We start from the raw sequence: 25220 nt of genomic DNA, 5'->3' as shown, positions 1-25220 counted from the left end.
GCCCTGAAGCATTTCTCCCATACTTTCTTCTGGTAGTTTCATAGTTTTGGGTCTTATATTTGAGTCCGTAATCCATCTTGAGATGATTTTTGTGCATGGTGAGAACTAGGAGTCTAGTTTCATTCTTCTACATATGGATATCCAGTTTTCCCACCACTATTTACTGAAGAGACTGTCCTTCCCCTCAACATATTTTTGGAATACCTTTCTCAAAAATCAGTTGGCTATAGATACACAAACTTATTTCTTGGTTCTGTATTCTATTGGTCTACATGTTAGTTTTCATGCCAGTACCATATTGTTTTGCTGACTGTCGCTTTGTAGTATATTTTGGTGGTGGTGGTGGTGAGTTTTTGTTTGTTGGTTTGGCTTTGTTTTTTTTTGTTTTTTTTTCTGAGACAGAGTTTCGCTCTTGTCACCCAGGCTGGAGTGCAGTGGTGCAATCACAGCTCACAGCTCACTACAACCTCTGCCTCCCATGTTCAAGGGATTCTCCTGTCTCATCCTCCCTAGCAGCTGGGATTACAGGCACCCACCACCATGCCTGGCTAATTTTTGTATTTTTAGTAGAGACAGGGTTTCACCATGTTGGCCAGGCTGGTCTCGAACTCCTGATCTCAGGTGGTCTGCCTGCCTTGGCCTCCCAAAGTGCTGGGATTACAGGCGTGAGCCACCTGTTTGTTTTTGTTTTTGGAGACAGGGTCTTGCTGAGTACAGTGTCATGATCACAGCTCACTGCTGCAGCCTTGACCTCCCAGGCTCAAGCAATCCTCCCACCTCAGCCTCCTGAGTAGCTGAGACTGCAGCTATGTGCCACCATGCCTGGCTAATTTTGCTTTTATTTTTTGTATAGACAGGGTCTCACTATGTTGCCCAGGCTGATCTCAAACTCCTGGACTCAAGCAATCCTCCTGTATTGGCCTCCCAAGGTGCTGGGATTACAGGTGTGAGCCACCGTGACTGGCCTATTTTTATTTCTTAGTGATTCAGTCTTGGTAGGTTATATGTTTCTAGAAATTTATCCATTTCTAGGTTATCAAATGTGTTGCTGTGTAATTGTTCATAGTAGTCTCTTATAGTCCTTTTCAGTTCTGTGGCATCCGTTGTTTTGTCTGCTCTTTCATTTCTGATTTTTGTTATTGGAGTCTTGTCTTTTTTTATTTAAGTCTAGCTAATGGCTAGTCAATTTTGTTGATATTTTCTAAAAGCCATCTTAGTTTTGTTAATTTTTTAAAATCATTTTTATTCTCTTTTTATTTATTTCTGTTCAAATCTTTATTATATCCTTCCTTCTACTAGCTTCGGGATTAGTTTGTTCTTTTTCTGGTTCCTTGAGTGTAAAGTTATTTTGTTGATATGAGAGCCTTCTTTTTTAATGTGTCTACCACTATAAACTTTCCTCTGAGTACTGCTTTTGCTGCATTCCGTAAGTTTTAATATGTTGTGTATTCGTTTTCATTTGCCTTCAGATGTTTTCTAATTTCTCTGGTGATTTTTTTGACACAGTGGTTGTTCAAGAGTGTGTTGATTAATCACCACATATTTATGAATTTTCCAGTTTCCCTTTTGATGTTGATTTCTAGTTTTATTTCAGTGTGGTCAGAAAAAATACATAAAGTGATTTCAATCTACTTAAATTTGTTAAGACCGCTTTTGATGGCCTAACATGATTTATACTGGAAAACGTTCTATATGTGCTTGAGAAAAATGTGTGTTATGCTGTTGTTGAGTGGAGTGTTCTGTATATCTGTTAGATCCAATTGGACTATAATGTTATTGAAGTCCTTTGTTTCCTTATGATCTTCTGTCTAGTTGATCTATCCCTTATGAAAAGTGAAATATTTAAATATCCTACTGTTAACTGCGTTACTATTTCTTCCTTCAATTCTGCTAGTGTTTGCTTTATATATTTGGGTGCTCTACTGTTAGATGCATATATATTTAGACTTGTTTTGAGTTCCTGGAGAACTGATCCTTTTATCATTATATAATGTCCTTCTTTGTCTCTTGTGAGTTTTTGACTTAAAGTTTATTTTGTCTAAGTAGGGCTAACCTCCTTTTTCCTTTGGTTGCTATTTGCATGGAGTATCTTTTTCCATCCTTTCACTTTCAGCCTAAGTCTTCATATCTACAGTGAGTGCCTTATAAACAGCATTTATTGTTTGAAGTTTTTATAATTAAATCAGCTACTCTCTGTTCTTTGATTAAGGAGTTTAAAGTAAACATTCACATTTGAAGTAACTTCTGATAGAGAAGCTCTCACCGTTCCCATGGAACTTACTATTTCTATATTTTCCAGTTATTTTGTCTCTCCTTTTCTCTCTTGCTGTCTCCCTTTATGTTTCATTGATTTTTTTTTTTTTTTTGACAGAGTACAGTGGCACAAACTTGGCTCACTGCAGCCTCTGCCTCCCAGGTTCCAGCAATTCTCGTGCCTCAGCCTCCCGAGTAGCTGGGAGTACAGGCATGCGCCACCACCCAGCTAATTTTTGTATTTTTAGTAGAGACGGGGTTTCACCATATTGGTCAGGCTGGTCTTGAACTCCTAACCTCAAGCGATCTACCTGCCTTGGCCTACCAAAGTGCTGGGATTACAGGAGTGATCTACTGCGTCCAGCCTGTTTCATTGATTTTTTTAGTGATGTGTTTTTATTCTGTTCTCATTTTTTTTGTGCAGCTTCTGTAGGTATTTTCTTTGTGGTTACTATGAGGATTACATAAAACATAGTTATAATGATCTCTTTTAAACTGATAACTTAAATCACATATAAATATTTCATTCCTTTACATCTCTTCCCTCTATGTTACCAGTGTCACAAATTACGTATCTTTTTATATTTTATATTCATTAACATAGTTTTATAGTTAGCTATTTTCAGTGCTTTTATCTTTTAAATTGGAATTTAAAAGATAATCCAATTTAAAAGATAAATATCCAATTTTAAATTGGAATCACTTTGGAATTAAGTGATTTATGCACTTCATAACAGATTATAGGATTCTGTATTTATCTATATATTTTCCTTCACTAGAGAGCTTTACATTTTCATATGTTTTTGTGTTGCTGTCTAGCATCCTTTTGTTTCAACTTGAAAGATTCCTTTTAGCATTTCTTGTAAAGAAGGTCTAGTGATGATAAATGATGAATTCCCTCAGCTTTTGTTTATCCAAGAAGGTCTTTATTTCTCCTTCATCTTTAAATGATAATTTTGCCAGATACAGTATTATTGGCAGTTTTTTTTCTTTCAGCACTTTTAGTATATCTTCCAACTCTTTCTGACCTGTAACATTTCTGATAGAAATCCACTGATAACTTATGGGAGCTCCCTTGTATGTGTCAAGTTGCTTTTCTCTTGCTGCTTTGCAGATTCTGTCTTTGACATTCGACAGTTTATAATGTGTCACAGTGTGCACCTCTTCTGATTCATCATATCTACAGTCTGTTGAGTTTTTTGAATTTGAATGTCCATTTTCTTCCTCAGATTTTGGAAGTTTTTGACCATTATTTCTTCAAATAAGCTCTCTGTCCTATTCTCTCTTCTCCTTCTAGAACTCCCATAATGTATATATTGGTCAGCCAGATGGTACACCATAAGTCCTTCAGGCTTTCTTTACTTTTCTTCATTCTTGTGTTGCTGTTGTTACTCTGACTCAATAATTTCAAATGACTTGTCTTTGAGTTAGCTGATTCTTTCCTGTTTGATCAAGTCTCTTGTTGGTCTTCCACAGTGAATTTTCCTAACCAGTTGTTTTCTTCAGCTCCAGAATTTCTAGTTTGTTCTTTTTTATAGTTTCTATATCTTTGTTCATATCCTCATTCTGTTCATGCTTTGTTTGCCTGATTTCATTTAGCTGTCTATCTGTATTCTCTTGTAACACATTGAGCTTCTTTAAGATTATCATAAATTCTTTTTCAGGTAACTAATAGATCTCTGTTTCTTCGGAGTCAGTTAATGGAGATTTATTTTGTTTCTTTGACTGATTTCCCTGTTTCTTTGTGTGCCTTGTTATTTTTTGTTGTGATTTTTGCATTTGAAAAACAGCCACCTCTCCCAATCTTTACATACTGGCTTTCTATAGGGGAAGACCTTCACCAAACAGCACAGCCAGAGAATCTGACAGCCTCTCAATCCTTTTATGGGGAGATGTATCTTCTCTCACTCTCTGCATGTAAATTCCCAATTAGAGAAGTTTGTCAGTTTCTTTTTCGGTTTATAGTTTCTTCCTCCCTCTTGCGCCTGTCTGTGGTACTGGCAGGGTTCTTGGTGCTGCAAAAAGCTACTAAGTTCTCTTTTGTTCACTGTAGACCCCAGGTATCCAAGGTATGCTGGTTCAGCTAGCACTCTGAGTCAGGCAAGACTGAAATCAACATTCTGGGCAGCCCAACTCCCACCCAACCCCTTACTTTTTCACCCCCTAAAAAGCTAGTATATTGCATGTACATTTCACTTTTCTGTTTTCCTCTCAAGGCAGAAGCCATGAGTTGGGCTTTTCCTCCCTATTATGAGCTATGCTGGCTTAAGAGAGGGGCTGACATCATTCAAATGGAACTACTTGTCTTATCTCTTTCAATAGAACTATTCATGGCTTTGATCCTGCCTAGGGTGCTGTGAATTCACAACTGGCTTCTGGAGCTATCCTAAATGTTTTTGGGTCATATATTGTTAAGTCAGTGTCTTTGTGGGAAAACAAGGTCTAGGGCTTCCTATTCTTGCTGACATTACTGTAAGCCATTAAGTTTTGAAGTGGTGTGTTATGCAAATCCAAACTGGAACAACTTAAAGGACTGCAAAGACATTAACATAGGTATCCATGGCATTGATCAAGAATGGCTGTAAGTACTACAATACTACAATAAGATTGATACTGTGGCCTTCTGGCAGAGAAGAAAAGCTCTCCCTATGAAGTAGCTTTGAATAAATAAGTAAATAAAATCAAACTTGAATTGGCTCAAGCCTCTAGATTTAACGATCAATGTATAGGAAATACAGAAGGTAGCAGTTCATGTTAAATGACAATATGGGGATGCAATCAGCAAAACTCAGACTCTACAGGAAAACCTACAGAACAATAGTTTCTTTAACAAAGTGCAAGGAGAAAAAGCAAAAGGAGATAAAGAAGAAATCTTTAGATTAAGAGAATTAAGAAGCATTTTTTTTTCTAAATAGCTGAGACCTGAATTATATTTCTATTCATTCATATAATGTTCCTCTTGCACACAGATACTCCCTAAGCAATGAACGCAAGGACTTCAGCACATTTTTGTATAATTTTAAACTGTCAGATTACACATGACCCAAAAAATAAAACCTTTGACCCAGCAACAATTCATATAGATATATGAATACATATTCACTACAGTTTTGTTTGGAACATCAAAAATAAAAGCAAAAAAAGGAATTTAGATCTATTATTATAAGGCCAATTAAATAATCATAAATCCAAACAACAGAGTAGGTCATTAAAAACTATAATAATGTTCATTGACATGAAAAAAAATTTCCAAGTTTCATTATTGAGTGAAAAAATGCAGGTTATCCAATCATATGCACATTATAAACTCATTTATTTAAAATCATGTGTAAGTGTCTATGTATACATAGAGTTATCTGAAAGGATGATTACCAAAATGTTAACTGAGAATTAATACATGTAAGTGATAACATAAATTATTTTGAGTAATGAGAATATGTTTTATTTTTACTTTATTACCCTTTTCTTTATTATTTGAATTTTCTACATGAGTTGTCCTGTGTATTATATTTAGAAAAATTATTTTTCATTTTTATATTCTAAAAACAAACCATGTACAGGAGAAAGCCCCATTCATTCAATCATTTAATATCAGTTTGATACTTACAGAATAATGTTATTGTCTTCTCCAAAGATATAAGGAGAAAGGAAACATAATTGGAAGTAGAAATATGTAAGCATTTGCTACTTGACATCACACAAAACATTCTGTGAGTCAAGGGTAGCAGGTATTATACAAGAACACAGTATGAGCTCGATGTGATGTGATCCACTGAGAAATCCCATATACCTAGGGTAGATAGGCTATAGAAATGATGTAGGTCAAGGAATTCTGGCCCTACCCTTACCCCATCCATAGGAATTGATCGTATTATCATTCTAACTAGCACTGGAATGTACATATAAGGCATATACTAATTTAGGGCACCAGAAAAACATATGTAGCAAAATAAATTTTGAAAAGAATTTGTATGAAATATTATTCAATTTAAACATATAATAGTAGTCATTTACACTCACTTATTCAAGAAATACTTATTGGCCACCCTCTATAACCCAGGTTCAGTGCTAAGTGCAGAGTTAGAGGTGAACAAGACAGATGCATTCCCTGTCCTCTCAAACCTTGCATTCTAAAGTAGCAATACATTTTCAGCTAAACAAATTTCTTCAGGTTGCCATAGAGTAACAGTGATTAAGAACACTTACTCTGGAGCCAAACTGCCTAGGTTTTAATCCCACCTCACCCACTTACTAGCTATATAACTTTGAGCAAGTTATTTAACATTTATTGTCTCAATTTCCTCATCTGGGAATAATAGTACCTTCTTTAGAGGTTTTTTTTAATGAGATATTTAATGAGTAAACTGCTTAGAAGAGAGCCAGCACATATTAAACACTCAGAAAGTCGTGCATATAGACTTTTATTAGGGTTTTCACAGAGATGTCAGTCTGGATTACAACGAGGTATACACAAAAGCCCTTAATTTTTCTTCAACACAAATTTATTTATTATTTTCCTTACATTTACAAATTTTTTAGACCGTCTGGAAACCTGTGATTGAAAACAGCATATTTAATGTTTGAGTCTATTTGGCAAAAACTTGGTCAGAGTAGAATCTCTCAGATGGAGAAGGCTCTACTTAAGAATCTGTCACTCAGGGCAGGCATGGTGGCTCATGCCTATAATCCCAGCACTTTGGGAGGCTGAGGCGGGTGGATCACTTTGAGGCCAGGAGTTCGAGACCAGCCTGGCCAACATGGCAAAAAGCCATCTTTACCAAAAGTACAAAAATTAGCTGGGTGTGGTGGTATGCGCCTGTGATCTCAGCTACTCGGGAGGCTGAGGCTGGAGAATCGTGTGAACCTGGGAAGTGGAGGTTGCAGTAAGTGGAGATCATGCCACTGCACACTCCAGCCTGGGTGACAGAGCAAGACTCTGTCTCAAAAAAAAAAAAAAAAAAAAAAGAATCTATCACTCACTGAAACTGTATTATGTCTTTGTTTACTAGTTTATTACCTCCCCTGTAAAGAAAAAAAAGTAAGCTCCAAGAGGACAACCACATCACCAGTGTCCAATGCAGTGCCTGAAATAAATGGGTGCTCAACAAATGTTTTTAAATGAACAGAAAGTCCTCACAACACAAAAATATGAATTCAACAGAATTTGAACTGTTTTTGATAAGTTTGCAAAGCCAATATCCTCAAGTAAAAGTATAGAACTTTATAAATTATATATGAAAATAATCAATCACTAAAAAGACTCACAATTTTTTAAGACTTTGTTACTTTTCATATCCCCAAGACACTTACTACCCAACCCATGTAACTGTGCCTACAGTTTAATTCCAAAGAAATAACACAGAGAATCTTTCAAATATACTCTTTTATTTTGAAACAAGTTATTTACATTTTTATGAAAATTATTTGCTATGATTCAAGACTAACAACAAAATGAAGGTAGCCATGGCTTTTTTTCCCTCTTCTGTTAACTATAAGGTGGGAAAATGAGAAGCTTTGATTATGCAAATTAAAGCAGAATCTATTATCTCCTTTCTGATCTATGTCCTGAACATGGAGGGTTTTTAAGCAATGTTAGTTTCGCATATTAGGAATCACAGTCAGTTAACTATTGCTGCTAACTGATGGGCTGTATTTGCCAACTCTATCAGTTTGACTCAGCTTCCAGAGCTTAATGGTCCTCCAGGCTAAAAGAGAAAGCTGATCCATCAGGCTTGCATTAGCATAGAATCACACTCCAAGCTTATTGATGTGTGCTCAGCATAACTACCATCCCCAGCACCCAGCTCAGTCCATTATTTTCATTTTATCTCAAGTCATTTGTATGGCTGTCTGCCCCAGTTAAAGCTCCAGCAAGACTTAAATGAATTTTTGAGAAAGGAGACAAATGCCCCCTGAACTTTTGGCACTTTGCTATCAAGGCTTGCTAACATAAAATATACTAGTACTATTCTTAGGGCCACTTAAGTGAGCATATCGAGAATAGCCTATTGCGGGGGATATGGGGGAGTCACTTACTACTCTATTAGCCATCAAGGAGTGTGATGATTAAATGATTTTTTAACTGTAATTTTAAAGCACTGTTCTGATTTCTGCTGAAAGCTATTTATAAAAATAAATTTCATAACAGTTACATCTTTGCTGCTTAAATACCTTTCTCTTTTAAAATACAGAACACACACTAAAATAAATGTTCTAAATAATAATACATTTCATCACCTAGGGAAATGTTACATTTAATGGTAACAAGAAAAACAACAATCTATAACAACCAGGCATTTAATGTGCACAAAACCCCATAATAAGAAGGGATTTAATGTGTGTATAAACCCTGTAATGGGTTTGTGTATAATCAGGCATTTGAGGTATACATAAAATGACTTTAATTGTAAATCTTTAAAATGAAAATAAAGTGCTTGTGTAGCTGTTTTGAATATACAATAACTATTGAAATTCTAAAGCTGGTCTTCAAAACTATGTTCTATGAATTTACATAGTGCTTACAACTATAATTCTGAGAGAATCTGAAAAGGGTACTATTCCTAAATCTTTTTTTTTTTTCCCACTTAGAAATGTCTACAGAGGTAGAGCAGCTGGCCCAGATCCCACAATAAGTTAGTGTACCTAAAACTCAAAAAGTTGGTGGTGCATGTTGAATTTGTTTATCTGTCACTTAAAACTTCAGAATGTGATATTTTTGCCTACTTGTCTTATTTTTATACTTGAGAAGTTAAAACCCAATCTGAGAGTCCTTCTATCCCAAGTAGCTTTCCTCTTTATGTACACAGTTACGTATGGCCTTTAGAAACCTCGTATTACTGCAACTAGAAGAGGAAGAAGAAAAAAAACACTTTTAAACAATTTAATGTATCAAGTATTGCTATAGGAGTATTCACTTGTAATCGCCTTTTATCGATTTCTCTCATCTCCCTAGAGAGAATGGAAAGTTAACATTTGTAAACTGTTAAAACACTACAGAAAAGCTGGTTGTTGGATTAAAAATAGATTCTGACACTTGCATCCTTACAAGATGAATAATTATATAAAAACGTCTTTCTAAATGCTGTTTTCAATTCTGAGAAGCACAGTAAGACTGAACAGCACAAACCCCTGAAAGCAGACCTTTTCATCTTAAATGTACTGGCAGAATGGCGAATAAAGAAGCTGACATTTATTGAGCACCTACTTTTTGTCCAGACAGTATTCACTTACATGATCTCATTTAACCGTGTGAAATATACCACAGGTTTGGTTTGATTACTCTCTATTTACAGAGTTTTCACGAGGTGACTCAGTCATTTGCTAAAAGTCAAAGCTGGCAGGGCGCAGTGGCTCACACCTGTTATCCCAGCACTCTGGGAGGCCGAGGCGGGCGGATCACTTGAGATCAGGAGTTCGAGACTAGCCTAGCCAACATGGTGAAACCCTGTCTCTACTAAAAATACAAAAATTAGCCGGGCATGATGGCACATGCCTGTAATTCCAGCTATGTGGGAGGCTGAGGTGGGAAGATCGTTTGAACCGGGGAGGCAGAGGTTGCAGTGAGCCGAGAATGCACCACTGCACTCAAGCCTGAGCAACAGAGCGAGACTCTGGCAAAAAAAAAAAAAAAAAAAAAAAAGTCACAAAGCTACAAAGTCCTAATGCTAGATCTGTGTCTCCAAACCCAGATTAATCTGACTCCAAAATGGGGGATGTTCTTTACACTAATGTGCAGGCTGTTCCATGCTTCCAAGAGAATCTGAGGGTTCACTATTCATTTGCAGGGGAATGGCTTATCCATCACCAAGCAGCCATGGAGGAACTAGCTAATTCAACTTTGTAACATCTGGAATTTCTGTTGAGAATTTCCAAAAGAAGAAAACAAATATTGAGGGTTTCTAATCTATCTTTGCTTTCTCTTCTTACTTATTTCTAGTTTCAAAGACTCTTGTACACTAGGCACTTTTAAGAAATATGACTTAAGGGCCGGGCACGGTGGCTCATGCCTGTAATCCTAGCACTTTTGGGAGGCCAAGGCGGGTGGATCACGAGGTCAGGAGTTTGAGACCAGCCTGGCCAACATGGTGAAACCCCATCTCTACTAAAAATACAAAAATTAGCCGGGCGTGGTGACACGCACCTGTAGTCCCAGCTACTCGGGAGGCTGAGGTGGGAGAATCGCTTGAACCCGGGGGGTGGAGGTTGCAGTGAGCCAAGATCATGCCACTGCACTCCAGCCTGGGTGACAGAGCAAGATTCTGTCTCAAAAAAAAAAAAAAAGAGAGAAAGAAAATAAAAAGAAAGAAATATGACTTAAGGTAAGTTGGCAAGTTGGTACTCTCAGAAGGAATTTATGATCATCTTTTGCCTTCCAGAAAGTGATGTTAACCAAAAAACAAAAGAGTCATCTCCATTTTTTAAGTATACAGAAATATATGCAACCATACATGTTTTTATTTGTATGCAGAAAATAACTCTGGAAGAATACAAAAGAAATTAGTCATTGTGGTTATTTCCAGAGAGGGAAACTGGGTTGATGAAGGACAGATGGAAAGGAGACTTTTCACAGTTTATACTCTTGAGGCCATTTTGAACTTTGAATCATATGAGCATAGTACATATTCAAAATATATATACTTACATACAAATATAAATAAATCATATTCAACTATCTTTATGATGAATGCTAATCAGTGTCACTGCAGCTACACCTAATGCAATAACTGGCTTATGAATACTGTACTTCACTAAGTATTTTAAATAGAATTTATTGTAATGATATAGCCGAGAAGCTTGCTTGAATGAGTTAAGAGTTAGTATCCCAGACACTAGCTTTGTAGAAAACATAATTGGGCTGGAGAAGGAGAAATCGTAAAATAGGAAAATAGGATAGCTGATTAATGATCTCCCAGAAAAGAAGGAAAAGAAAAACATTTAGCATGAGGATTTCTGCTATGATTGTAATGAAGATCATGAAGACAAGCAGAGGTAGGATGCCTTGGCCAAAACATCTTTTCTTATAAGTCCCATCTCCCCAGGCATATTTACCATTTAAACAAAAAAGGAAGAGTTACTACTGATGGTGATATCTTCATTTTCCCCTGGTTGCTTCCCCTAAAAGAGAAAGGATGACATGTATAGAAAAGGTAAACTTGGCTGTAGTTAAAGCTTTTCATTCCAAGGTCTTTTTGTTTCTTCTTTCACAAGAATGTACATATTTATATAATAATTCTGAGAAATAGAGGGTAAGAGGGCTAAAAGACCTAAATATTCTTCTACAACAAATAAAGACAGTTAAATGTCACCTGATAACCTATTCTTTACAATATATAGATTCTGTTATTTCTCTTAGGAAAGAACTAGGATGTTTACCAACCCTATAGTCAGATTACTTCTATTTATAACCTGTAACTCTTTTGTTGTAATTCAAGTCCTTCATCACTAGTGAAAATGAACACTTGTTTTCATACTCACGCACATAAATAAATCCTTTCACTTAAGTTACACATATTAAGTATCTAATATGTACTAGCAATATATTTGGATTCATGTTGACCTGACTTTTACTGAACAAATATTTGAATTACACAAGGCACCATTTAGGTTACAAGACTGGTAGCATACAGCATGTTCCCTATCCTCAAAGAGTTTATTAGTAGGGTAGAAGCTATGATTTCAATATTTTATAAATCCCATCCCATGCTACTTAATATTTATGAATGATAAATATTAACCAAATGGAATTGAATTCTCATTTAGACTTTCCTTTTTCAAAGTTAGGATTCCTGATAACTTTAACCTTTAATTAAGGACCAACGTTTTTGACACACAGCATTCCAACTACAATGAATTCTAAAACAACAACAATAGATTACACAAATTAAGCTCTTTTTGCATTAAAAAAAATAGCTTTTTAAGAATTTTAAATGTTTAACCCATGTGATCCTTATACTAACCCTGGGAGTTGTGATTTTTGTTGCAAATAAAGAAACAATGGCACAAAGTGGTTAAATAACTTGGTCAAAGTTACACAGCTAGTGATAGGGCTTAAGCCCAGGCAGTCAAGCTCCAGACAGAATGTGTCTTAACCAGCAAACAATTTTGACTCTCAAGACACTAGTTTAAGAATTTTTCAATGGGTATGCTTCATTAGACCATATCCCATTAAATTCTTACAGCTGCAATGAATGACAATTGGGTTGGAAACCTTCTCAATATCTTTCAAACCACTGCCATATCCCATTTTCCTGAAGCCCTTACAGTGTATCATGGCAACGCAATTTCTTCTCTTCTTCCTGCACTGCTCAGACCTCAAAGTTCAAAGGGCAAGCAGAAAGAAAAATGTAGTCACATAACACAGAAAGCATCCACTGGAATCGCTGGTGACTTCTTTCATCCTGCCCATCTTCAGAGATAAGCCTCCTTCTAAAAAAAATCTATCTCTAGGCTTCGTCCTGGAATCCCCAGTCCTACTTTCACGTTTCACAGTTTCCTCCTCACAAATAACCAAATGCGACTAATTATTTTGTTAACCCAGTATGTGGGTACCATGAATTTCTTCTCAAGTTATTCTGAGATCAAGAAAGTTAAAATACCTTTCAAGTGCTTATCTTAGCATCTCATGATGCCATAGAGAAGCAGGGCTAATGTGATGATGCCCTTCTGCCTCATACAACGTCCTCTATCCATGGGTAAATTAAGATTTCAAGAGGGTCACTTCACAACAAAATCAAGAGTTCAAAGACCAGGCTACAAACTGATGGTACTGTTGCTAGAAGTAAGCTGGATTCTGTTAGATAAATAATATCCTCTCTAGGTTTAAATAAAATGTTTATAGATGTGTACCAATTCTTTCATGTCAAGAAATTCTTTTGATTCACTGATACAATACAATTCTAAAGAGTACAGTAGTGACCTAACATGAAAGCCTCTCCAAAAATGCTTGACTTCTACACAGATTCATTGCTATATTAGGTTTGGGGCCATTATGCCGTCCAAGAGATAAGTAAAATAGAGAAACAGATCAGAAATGGAAAAAAAATCTACTGACTATTAAAAATGATTTGTTTTATTATCCTACTTCAAGGCATAGTTACTAAGCAAAGCTAACTTTTAAGTTCCCAGTGCCTTGGGAACCCAGAGGAGGTGCCCTGGAAGCATGAAGGGGTAATGAAGACCCATGAACAAAGCTTTCTGGCAATGCATTTAGAGGGGGATTTCTGACAATTTTAAAATTTTCACCACTGCTATATATTTAGTTTATTTTACTGGTAGGGTCAGAAACATTATTGGATATTGGGTAAAGTACTCAGTTTACTTACTTTGTTCACCCAGATTTCGTTGAGTAATGTATTTTTCAAGCCACATTTAACACAATGCACAACGTTGAACCTGAAGTCTCTATTTTAAAAGCTCTGGCAATTAGCTCAACTTAGAAAAAATAGCAATTAGAATTCTCAAACAATTTCTGCTGTAAACAGAAGAGAATGAAATAACTCACTCTGACTTACCCTATTATTTTTCATAGTATGAGTTAAAAATATATGTTTTATTTAAGAATTGCAGACGAAGCTTCTCCAACTTATTTTTTAAGAGTTGTCAAAATCAGATGTTACCGTCTCCTTATTCTTAGTAAAAGAATTTCTCTAAAATATAGTCAGGCAGACATTTTCCTTCTCTCTCTCAATGGTATTTTGTCTAATTCTTACTTCCATTAAGACAACACTGCCTCAAGCTTTATATCCATTTCCAAAGACTATCTTATTTCTTAAAACTACTTGTTTTAAACTCTGAAAGACTAAAAAGCAGCATAGAAAAACACCTCTTAATCTTATAGTCGTTTTATTAGACTATTTCACCCATGGCAGGAAAGAAAAATGAGAAATTTCATTTTAAACCTAGGTTCTAGAAATGATGTTTCAGTAATTCATTAAAGTATTCATTAAAAGCTGATTACATATTCTTAACAGTAACATCTGCCCCTCTCCACAAAATGGACAATAAAATTATCTTTTAATAAAAATGTTTGCGCTATAAACTACATGATACAAATTTGCTTAAACCAAACTGAATCCATTCTCTATACTAAAGATGACAAAAATTATCCCACTAGCTGAATTTCATTGCCAAGCTGTCAACTTGAATTTCTTCTGTTTAAAAATAGCTGTTCATTACATTCAGTAATGGGCTGTCAAAGCACTACAGCACTGAACCTGTATCATACACAGAAGCAATTGGGCAATGTGCATTATTATGTTTAGATTACTTGCATTCTTTACAAGACCCCTGGGCTAATTTTAAATGAGATGGTTCACTTGAACTAAATCAAAACCTATTTTATTTTACCTTAGAGCTAATAGATATTTTCCATTTATGACTCACTAGTACAAACATTAATAGCAGGTAAAACAAAAACCTTATTGAACATATATGTGAGTATAAGTAAATATGCACATATGTATGTTTATGGATTTGTATGTGGTTTTGCTCCCTACAGCCACATCTACTTTTAATAATAGATGATTGAATTACAACACAAGGCACACCAAATTAGACAATAGTGCCAATATGTGAGCAAGCATTGTCGTCTCCATGAATACATGATAAGTTGTTAACTGGAAGCATCACTCCTGCAGCATATAGTCTTTGATATTTTAGCATAGTAAATCAATTAGACATCTTTTAAACTAGCAAATGTATAATAATTCACCATATAATTTAGCATGGGATATTGTGAACAACTATAAAAAGACACATAAAACCTGCAGCCGAACCATTCTTCCCCAGCATGATATCACAACCCCAAAGGCATCCAATAATGGCTGCAGGATATCAAAGGGATGGTAACTAAACTGATCACAGATGACTTGTAAATATACCTAATGAATGCAAGAACTAGGTTAATCATTTGTAAAATTTTTTCACTAGTCTTTATTTTCATTAATAAAGAGAGGCTACTTGCACACTCATGTAAATACAGATTATAATACAAAGGTTAAAGATAAATTTTACTTAAAAATTATCTCTAGGTTTCCAACTTTGGAATATCAAAGGTAAAATGACTTATAAACTCTTATTTCAGCAAAATTAAACTCTGTAAGCCAAGTGTGCCATGAAAGATTTCAGGGAAGAAACAATAGTAATATTTTTTTGTGTGTTTAATATCTATTTCTTTAAAAAGGAGGTAGGTGGGGAGCCCACATATATTTAAACATTATTTCTATGATTCAATAATGTATCAGGCACACATGTGGCAAACAGTTGAATGAAGACAGTAAGAAAAGCACCCCCAAAATGCAATGGTTGCATTTATTTAAGGAAAAAATTCTCTCTCAAGTATGAGATAACTGGCGCTATGCCTAGTTAGAAGCTTAATAAGCATTATTTATTGATACTTTTCCCATTCCAAAGTCCACTGGAAAGCATATTCATTCTATGTTAAAGAATACACACCCACATTTTATTCCTAAAACTCTCTAAACACTTCATTTCATCATGGCTCCTTTAACAAAATGGAAAATTATTCTGGCTAAGAAACTACTTTTGATGTAATTACCCTAATTCAGTTTAAATAATGCCTAAGTTAGCTTTTTAAACCACCAGCTAAAATATGAATGGTATATAGTATACATATTTAACAATTAAAAGCCAGTTTTATATTTTCTAACTCACTAAATGTGTGATATTATCAATATATATTATATGGTATTTGCATTGTTATGCTTAGATAAGTAAAAGAAACTTAAAATATCTAGGTTTTTTTTCAAAAATGGAATAAGGTTTTTGGCTATTGGCTATTACAATCAAAATAGAAAGCTTTTTTTCTCTAAAATTGTCTCATGAAAATTTCAAACATACAGCAAATGTGAAAGAGAAGCAAATTTTACAGAGAAGACCATATACCTACCACCTAGATTCTATCCTTAACATTTTACCGTGTTTGTTTTATCACATATCTAGCCACGTAAAATAGAAAGTTTTGTTAAAAAGGTAAACATATTTCACAAGAATAAATGAAATAAAGAATAGCAAAAAGAGGATAACTCTTTACTGAATAAAGAACTGCTAAGGATAGTAGTTACTGCTTTTGATTACAGCCAGATTCTCATAAATGATCATCTGCATTTTTTAAAACCATATCACTTTCTGTTAATAGAGACAACTGAATCTAAATTAATTCTATAGTAGATTCTAACTATTATATCTTAATTTGAAAGGCAAGGTTAGGACAGTAAAGGTAGAAGAACACCAGCCTCTTGGAAAGAACAGATCCTCCAAAAAAACAAAAACCTTTTTAGTTTGTTTTTGAGTTATAAAAAAAGGATTAGGGTAACGATTTTTCTAATCATTAATGTATCAGAAATGAAAACTATTCAACACTTTGTCTACTGTAATACATGTACATGAGAAACAACTATTCTACTTCAAACCTCTAATACAACAAAAGAATACCACCCATGGTATTTTCTTTAGGAACTAAATGTGTTTCTTTTGCTATGATAAAATTATTTTTTAATTAAGACACAAGATTCTGGCAGATTTAGGAAGTTTACATCCTTTGTGCTTTTCACTTATTTTATTTACATGGGAAATTAGATTTAAAATTTGAGTTGCAAACAAGAAAACTAGTTTAGCCTCTAACTTTCATTTTCTCAGATGAACACTTCCAAAGAATGTCCAGTACTGCTTCCTCAAATCCTTTGATTGGGCACTTCCTGCAAAACTTCAACAAGTCAGAGAGCACAGAGAGTTGGAAAACAATAGGCAAAGCACATTTTTAATGCTCAAATAATCTTTGATAAATTAAAGATTTAAGTGGGAGAAAATTTCTAAATCTCAAAGCCCACTATTAAATCAATTTTTAAATAGCATTACTAGAGCTATGACATTGTGATTTTTGTTTTATTGAAATATTTTTCACACCCAAAATTACTCTGGACTCCACAGAGAAATAGTGAATTGTACTTTTTTATTCCTCTTTTTTCAAATACGAAAGAAATGCTAATTAAAGTGAATAAGCATTTCAAAATTTATTAACCAAAACTGAAATTAGCTTTAATTTGAATATTTGGTTTTGAAACTGTATATGAAAATATATGGGTGAAAGTGTAACTAAAAATATATTAGTGTATACAAGATTCTCTTAATCACCATAAACTATGTTTAAGCAAGTTCAGAATGCTTCATAACCCCTTTTAAGGTTTGTATTTGTTGATGAACCAACAATGTTTGGCATAATTAACGCTAAGATCTTCAAAACTCAATGACTGAAAATAATTGCTTCTCTCTTTTCTTTCCTGAGTACTCTGAAGCTGAACCTAAAGATTTAGAGCTGACTGGACAAATATAAAGGATGTCAAAAACAGTGACCACTGACATGCCATTCAAGGCACATGGAAGACAGCTCAGGCTTGAATGCCTCTAAACTGCTCATTGGTAAGATCAGCTATCAGTGAGACGCAGTGTAAGTCAGCATTATTCACTGAGCCTGCTATGACCTTAAAATCATTGCTCCTGGGGTATGTTCACCCACCAATTAGTTTATATGCTCACTGGAAATCCACTGCTCAGTAAAAGCATCGGTCCCTCATTCCACAGTGTTGATGAAGTGTGTGTGATGGCTTTCTCTTCACAACTTCACCCCTAAAGCTGACCCATCTCAAGTTGAAGCATTCAAGTCACTTGAGCATCTCTGGATTATCATGGATTTCGCTACTTAACTTAAAAATTACTATACTTTAACTTATTTGATAAACACAAATGTTATAGTGATCATAAAAGGACATATGTAAAACAATGTAAAAATTAGAACTGAATTTACCAGTCCTCCAAAGGAAAAAAATTTCTAGTACTAACCCCCTCCCCAAAGATTTACTAAGGAACGTAAAATATCAGAATCCCTTTTACTTGTGAAAGTGTTATTTCATGTCAGATACTTGTTAATAGTGTTGAAAGAAGAAATTTCCTTGCTGTTTTTAAGCAAGTATTAATTAGCATACATCTGCCAATGCTATTGTTTCTAAAACATTGAAGAAAGAAATTATTTTCTCCTTTTGGGCAGAGTAAAGTCTAAAGAATAAAAAGAAGCATATGTGAAAAATAATTTCAAGATAATATGATATGACATGATAAAAGGTTAATCTAGAAATGAGAAAAAAGAAAGAGATCACCAAGATTTATGGAGATATAAACTACTGAGATATAAAAAACCGAAAGGACAGCAGAAATTGGATAATTGGGAAGAAAATTAGTGGTGGGTTATACAAGTAAAAATATCCTGAAGATAACTAAACAGTTAAACAAATTATCAGGGCTGAGGGTATATCAGCACAGAGATAGTCAGTTGAAATAACATGCATGGGTTTATTTTCAAACAACTTGAGGATAGAGTTTGGGAATAAAACTGTCCCAATTTTTTCCCTTCAGGTTCTCACAAGGGGAGAAAATCTTCCCCCTACATGAAGGGGTCAACATTTAACTCATTTCTAGCCTGCTTCTTGGAAAACGATCTGATTGAAGTTTTGTTTTGTCTTTAACAGGTTTATTAAGACATAATTTACATGCCACAAAGTTCACCCAGTTAAATGGTACAACTTAATAGTTTTTTGTGTATTTACACAGGTGTGCAAACATTGTCGCAATCAATTTTTCAACATTTTCATCACCCCCAAAAGAAACCCCATTCCGTCCATACTCCCTAGTTTCCTGCACGAGGCAACTACTAATCTACTGTCTCTACAGATTTGCCTGTCCTAGACCGTTCATATAAATGCTATCTTAAAATAGTCTTTTGTGACTGGATTCTTATACTTAGCACAATGTTTCTGAGGTTCATCCAGGTTGTATCATTAATTCATTCATTTTTATTGCTGAAAAATATTCCATTGAATAAATATACTACATTTTGTTTATCCACTCACTGATTTACAGAGATACAAAATAATGCCTCAGAATAACAGTTTATAACATACGCATATACATAATCATTAGTGAAAAATATGTTTACAGAGGTGAATTACATGTCACATTACTTACACGTGTGTTCTTAGTTGGGTGGACTTTTTTTACAGAATTAGTAAGGTTAACTTACAAGATAGAATACACAATTACTAAACTCTCATAATACCAAGGCTTAATAGCTGTGAAGACTTAGCAAAAACAATAAGAAAGCAATACTTAAATAGTTAAATATATGTATGTCCAAAGACCCAGCAATCTTATACCTGGGTGTACAGCCCAAAGAAATTCTCACGCAGCACCATTTATTGTAGTACAGAATTGAAGACCCTCTAGGGAAGTGGACAGGTAAAGTGTAGTGGATATTTATCATGCAATACTATAGATAGCTGACCCTTGAACAACACAGGTTTGAAATGTGCAGATACACTTATATGTGGATTTTTTTTCAACTAAAGGCAGATGGAAAATACAACATTCCCCAGATGCAAACCCGTGCGTAAGGAGCAGTGGGTGGTGGGGTGCTTTTCATATATGCAGTTTCTGCAGGGTCAACTTTCAGATGTGACTGTGTGTGGATTTTGGTATAGAACTGGTTAGTTCCCCACATGTACCAAGGGACAACTATATTCACCAGATGCAACAAACTGGATGAATGTGCAGCAACGTGAATAAATCTTGTAATAAATGTTAAGTGAAAAAAAATTAAGAAACAGAATACAATCTCTAGCATTATACCACTTATAAATTTAAAATACATATCCCAAACAATAGAATGCATTTTATAAGAATACATTAAAACAGACAGACAAATGAATTAAAAAACAAAGTGGCCAGACAGGGACCAATGATGATAGTATGCCATAAACTGAAAAATACAAGTTGCTCAATGCTCTGTATGTAAGGTCACAGATTTTTTGGGCGGAGTATTATTTTTCAAAAATATTTGCTGCCCCTACCTACAGAAGGATTATACTTTTATGCCCTACTGACAACAGGCTTCACCATGTAAATTGCTCTGGCCAATAAGATGTGAAAACATTACTGTTTGAGAAGTAGTACATGGGTTACTGTGCCCTTTTTCTATCCACTACAAGTGTTCAAGAAGTTGCTTACTGATCCCAGGTTGCACATTGCAGACAACATGAAACATAGCCACAATAAACCCAAGATAAACATGCAACATGAAAGAAATGTTAGTGTTGTAAGCCACTGAGGTTGGGGGGGATGGGCTGTTTATTATTGCAACATAACCTATCCCACTATGACTGATACATTCACATATATCAACATGGCAATTAAATCTCTTTATCCAAAACTACGGTAGGCACTAATGTTATGAATATTTGGAGGAGGGGTATGATACAAAATACAGCTCTTACCTTTAGGGATATTATAACAGAATTACATAAAACGAGGAGAATAAAAGGAAATCAACTATTCTAGTGAAAAGCATACTCGACAATGAGTTATAAAATGTGAGTTTTAATCCTACTCTCTCTATTTACTAGCCAAATGTCCTATGCCAATCTCTTAACCACTAGGAACCTCAGTTTCCTTATCTGAACATTAACAAAGCACAAAGCAATATACAGATGCATCATATCTCCACTAAATAAAACTCCAACTTTAAACAAAGATAAATTAAAATTGATTATTTACTCTTGTCTTAAATGGTCCAATGTACCAAAATTTTGTGCAGATAAGCTTGTCAGGAATACGAGTTACATTAAATAAAGAACACCTGGGTAATCAAGTATAGACTACCTTCATAAATGCTAACGTGGAAAAGGAATAAGGAAAAGCCCAAATGTAAATCATAACATGTGTATGTACAACAACAACAAAGGTAATGACACAGGTATGGCCAAATCTTGTGGGTATGATGAGGAATGACAGAAGATAAACTTCAGATAGAAAGACTGTGATGATGAAAGGCCTCAATGCTGGACTGAGATGCCTGCTTTGACACCACAAACCCTGTGGCAGCACAACAAGGTATACAGTGTGGTGGAAGACTGAGATGGAGGCCTCTAGGTCGGAACTTAAGTTGTTGAAGTGAATGAGAATATAAGGGAAAAGGCTGGGCATAGTGGCGCGGCCTGTAATCCCAGCACTTTGGGAGGCAGAGGTGGGTGGATCACTTGAGGCCAGGAGTTCAAGACCAGCCTGGCCAACATGGCAAAACCCCGTCTCTACTAAAAATACAAAAATTAGCTGGACATGGTGGCACACACCTGTAATCCAAGCTACTCGGTGACTGAGGCATGAGAATTGCTTGAACCCAGGAGGCAGAGGTTGCAGTGAACTGAGATCACAACACTACACTCCAGCCTGGGTGACACAGCGAGACTGTGTTTCAAATAAATAAATAAATAAATAAATAATATAAGGGAAAGACCAAATCTGGGAGGCTCTGAGAGTGAATAATCAACGCAACTGAACCTGACACATAACTGGCATTCAGTAAATATCTGTTGCCAGGCGCAGTGGCTCACACCTGTAATCCCAGCATTTTGGGAGGCCAAGGTGAGCCGATCACCTGAGGTCAAGAATTCGAGACCAGCCTGGCGAACATGCTGAAACTCCATCTCTACTAAAAATACAAAAAATTAGCCGGGTGTGGTAGCACACACCTGTAGTCCCAGAGGTTCTCTAGCGACCCCTTTATACTTGGCTGTCACATTCCCCCCTCTAAAGAAGTATGTCTAACTGACATTAGAATAAGGATAAAGATAAGGATGAAGACAGATCTTAACTGCTTCCTGCTGACAGAGGGTCTTGTTTTGGGGAAAATGGCAGTCAGAAGCCTATCTAAGAGTTCCTGGCAGAAGGGGTCATTGTCCGAGACTTCAAGACTTTGGTTGCATGACCATTTGGAGTTTGATGGTCTGAAAGTAAGAAGAGACAAACTGGGTTATTAGAAAACATGTATTAAAATGAAACAAGAGGAGGGGGCTGAGGACAACTCAAAAATCCTGAGGCCTTTTACCAGTTTGCATGGGGAGAGGAAGACCAAAAGCCCAACTGGTAAAAAAAAAAAAAAAAAAAAAAAAAAAAAAAAAAAAAAAAAAAAAAAACTACCCTTTTGCCGACATGTTGGACTTCCCCTGAGCCCAGTCCTAAGCCAACCAGTTTAAGGTTTGGGAAATTAACTTTTCCCAGTTTGGAGGGTGCATCTTAGGGGAATGTCCCGTAGTATGGAGACACAATTACCTATCTGTGAAGAGAGAACCAAGGAGGAGAAAAGAAAAAAGAGGGCATTTTTCAAGGGAATCCCAGGGGTTCGGGATGCATTTGAAAGGGATACAAACTGAAGATGAATGGCTACTCATCTAGAAAGAGGGGAGCAGGCATCCCTGGTTCCCTTCTCTTCCTAGCAAATACCTGGGGTATGTGAGGGAAAGAAGGAAGTGAGTCCTCTTTCCCTCTTCCATCCTTGCATCCCTGAGTCCTAGAAACCATAACAGGTGCCACTCATGGGTGCCAAAGCAGTTTGTAGCCATGAAGCAGGGAGGGCCTAGAGAATAGGAATTATCTGCTCTCACCTATGTCTCTATCCCTGCTACTGTCAGTAGCCTTGGAGTTCCCGGGACCTCATTTATGCCATGAATATTAGCTTGACCTTTATCCATGAAATGGGAGGCTTGGCTTAATTGGCAGAAACTAGCCATGCTCACCTGCACTGTGCCTTTTAACCTCTATTATCATCTGCCTCTAGATCCCTTAGATCCAGTTTTCTTTCCCAGGGCTTTGACCCAAAGCTTGGAATTGAATTTGGGACAAAAATGTGTCTTGGGGGGTTGCATGGACTCCTTTTCATAAGCCGAATGCCCAGGTGAAACTGTGGAATTGAGTCCTCCTTGGATGTCCTGTGACATGCCCAGATAACTGGTAGCTATAGTTATGCTTGCTAAGATTTGGGTACATGGTGCTTGGTGTTGGTTAGCTCCCATGCTCTTACTTCCCCTAAAAGGAAACCTCTGGGTGATGGGCACCCTATTTATTCCCATCACCTGGCAGGATTTGCAGGATAATTGCTCTGAAAGAACTAGAATATTAATCCAGATTTTTACACACACATGTATGTGTGTATAACTTGAACAGTAGCTTAACATCCACGATAAAATTTTGTAACAGATTACTAATTTGTGGCTTATACACATTTAGAAAATAACACAGGTTCAAAAGTAGACAAAAAGCATGTGTGAAGAACAAGTATGGGAAGTGTCAGAAGGCTCTTTCTTGCCCCTAACCTAACCATGGCCTTGACTTTTTAACATTTTTATCAGAGACTTGAAAACATAAAAGGTATGCCTATCAAAAGCTCATGTGACACATCTGGGAATGATACATATAATAACAGAATCAAAATTTTACATGATCTTGACAGCTTATAATACTGTCATTCACATATCCGACAATTCTAAGAAATTATTTCATGGATTTCATTTCTGTCGCCTCAAAAAATACTAAATTGCTCAAGGCAGGACTGAATTTAATGCTCTTTCAAAATCTCCTATGGTATCCAACACGGTGCTGGGAACATAGTAGGTATTTTATCAATATTTAAAGAATTGAGTTGTATGTATCAAGTACACGTGTAGAAAAGTTTAGAATAAATCACTCACCTACGCAACATATCTTCTTACTTTTCCTTCAGGCCGTAACACTTATCTCCTTCAAAGACCTCTTCCAAATGGAATTTTTCCAGCATACCCTTCTTGTGTTCTGCCTTAGACCCTTAAAAGACTACTATAAATAAAATTGTACAAGACATTTAAAAGCCTTTGCACTTTTTCTTTATTTGTTTCATTATTATGCCCAATTCTGTGCCATTAGACTTTAAGCCCACTAGGCAGCTTCAGTAGTATTTTAAAGCTTTTGCCATACATATGAGGTGAGAACGGATGAACTCCCTTCGCAGAGCTGCACAACATAACATTTTCATGTTACAATTCAGTATCATTGCAGCAAGATAAGCACACCCCATAGTCTAATTTAACAGACATGAAGAAGTCAAGCTCTATTGTTCAATGTCACAGCCAGCCAGCCCTGCATGATCAACCTTTATTCTTCTCTGGCTTCATTATGAGGATGATGCCTTTCAACTGTGGTGACTAAACCTGTTAAACTACAAAGCAAGAAATTTATAGAACCTTTAGAAGAGTAATACTGAGCAGCTTAAATGTAAAACCTACAATTAAATTCCAAAACTAAGCACTTCACCCCCAAGAAAATGCTAAGTAGTTCTTCAGCAACATTCCTGATTTACATACCCCAAAGATGACAGGACTTATATACATACATGCTGCAGTGATATTAATAGTAATTTTTTCAAGTAATATTCAATATAAAAAAATGGTAATATTAACCCATGCATTACAAAACTAATAAATTTCCCCATAGCATACCAGGGACAGGAGCTGTGATTTTTCATTTTCAAAAAGCCTCCTTTGTCAGATGAAAAGCCCTGAGAGTAAAATATTTCAGTACAGTTCAGTGTTAACAATGGGTATGCCATTAGATTACCATACAAGTGAATAAAGCACCAAATGATACGAACATTTTTTCACACTTTAGATTTTGATGTGAAATGAGTCTAATTATTTATTCATAGACTTTTCCTCTAAGGAGTTCAAAGAACTATATTTTAAATCTTCAAACACGTATTTCCTAAGCTCTAAAATCTACCAGGTAGGACAGAAGAACGTGCTGCCGGGAAGAAGATAAAGAAAAGCAGCACAAAAGAAAAGGCTGGTTGGAAGAATTCAAGTACATTTCAAACATGAGGTGGTATATTTTATTCATTCATTTATTCTTGCAGTCACTCATTTATTGAGCACCTATTAAGAAGTCTAGGTCTGTGCTAGATGTTAAGGATATGAAAACAATCCCTGCTCCAGCAGCTCATCAGAAAGAGGGATGACAGACAAATAAAGTGATAATTACAGTAGATGCCTAGTGCTGCAACAGCAGGATGAACTAAGTACTTTGGGAGCACAAGGGAT

General features: G+C 35.7%; 1 protein-coding gene and 1 long non-coding RNA gene across 8 annotated transcripts in view, besides 2 other annotated features; both read right to left on the bottom strand.

Moving 5' to 3' along the window:
- CAMKMT (calmodulin-lysine N-methyltransferase) overlaps positions 1-25220 on the bottom strand; it is a 410646-nt gene that overhangs the window by 304658 nt on the left and 80768 nt on the right. The gene's annotated exons all lie outside the window — the stretch shown is intronic.
- On the bottom strand, positions 329-24895 carry LOC124905999 (uncharacterized). The gene is made up of 2 exons (XR_007086303.1): positions 24624-24895; positions 329-24343 (listed from the first exon to the last, which is right to left on the bottom strand). It is a non-coding gene; the product is annotated as an uncharacterized LOC124905999 (long non-coding RNA).
- Positions 3874-4473: an enhancer, noted in NCBI's record as "OCT4-NANOG-H3K27ac-H3K4me1 hESC enhancer chr2:44690601-44691200 (GRCh37/hg19 assembly coordinates)". NCBI's record gives its function as "activates a minimal SCP1, AML or CMV promoter by ChIP-STARR-seq in naive H9 embryonic stem cells {active_cell/tissue: H9 hESC(naive)}" and the evidence as "EXISTENCE:reporter gene assay evidence [ECO:0000049][PMID:30033119]".
- Positions 4474-5075: an enhancer, noted in NCBI's record as "OCT4-NANOG-H3K27ac-H3K4me1 hESC enhancer chr2:44689999-44690600 (GRCh37/hg19 assembly coordinates)". NCBI's record gives its function as "activates a minimal SCP1, AML or CMV promoter by ChIP-STARR-seq in naive H9 embryonic stem cells {active_cell/tissue: H9 hESC(naive)}" and the evidence as "EXISTENCE:reporter gene assay evidence [ECO:0000049][PMID:30033119]".

The sequence above is a fragment of the Homo sapiens genome, chromosome 2 (assembly GCF_000001405.40).
Source record: "Homo sapiens chromosome 2, GRCh38.p14 Primary Assembly".
Lineage (NCBI taxonomy): Eukaryota > Metazoa > Chordata > Mammalia > Primates > Hominidae > Homo > Homo sapiens.
This window is presented reverse-complemented; position numbering and strand designations above follow the sequence as displayed.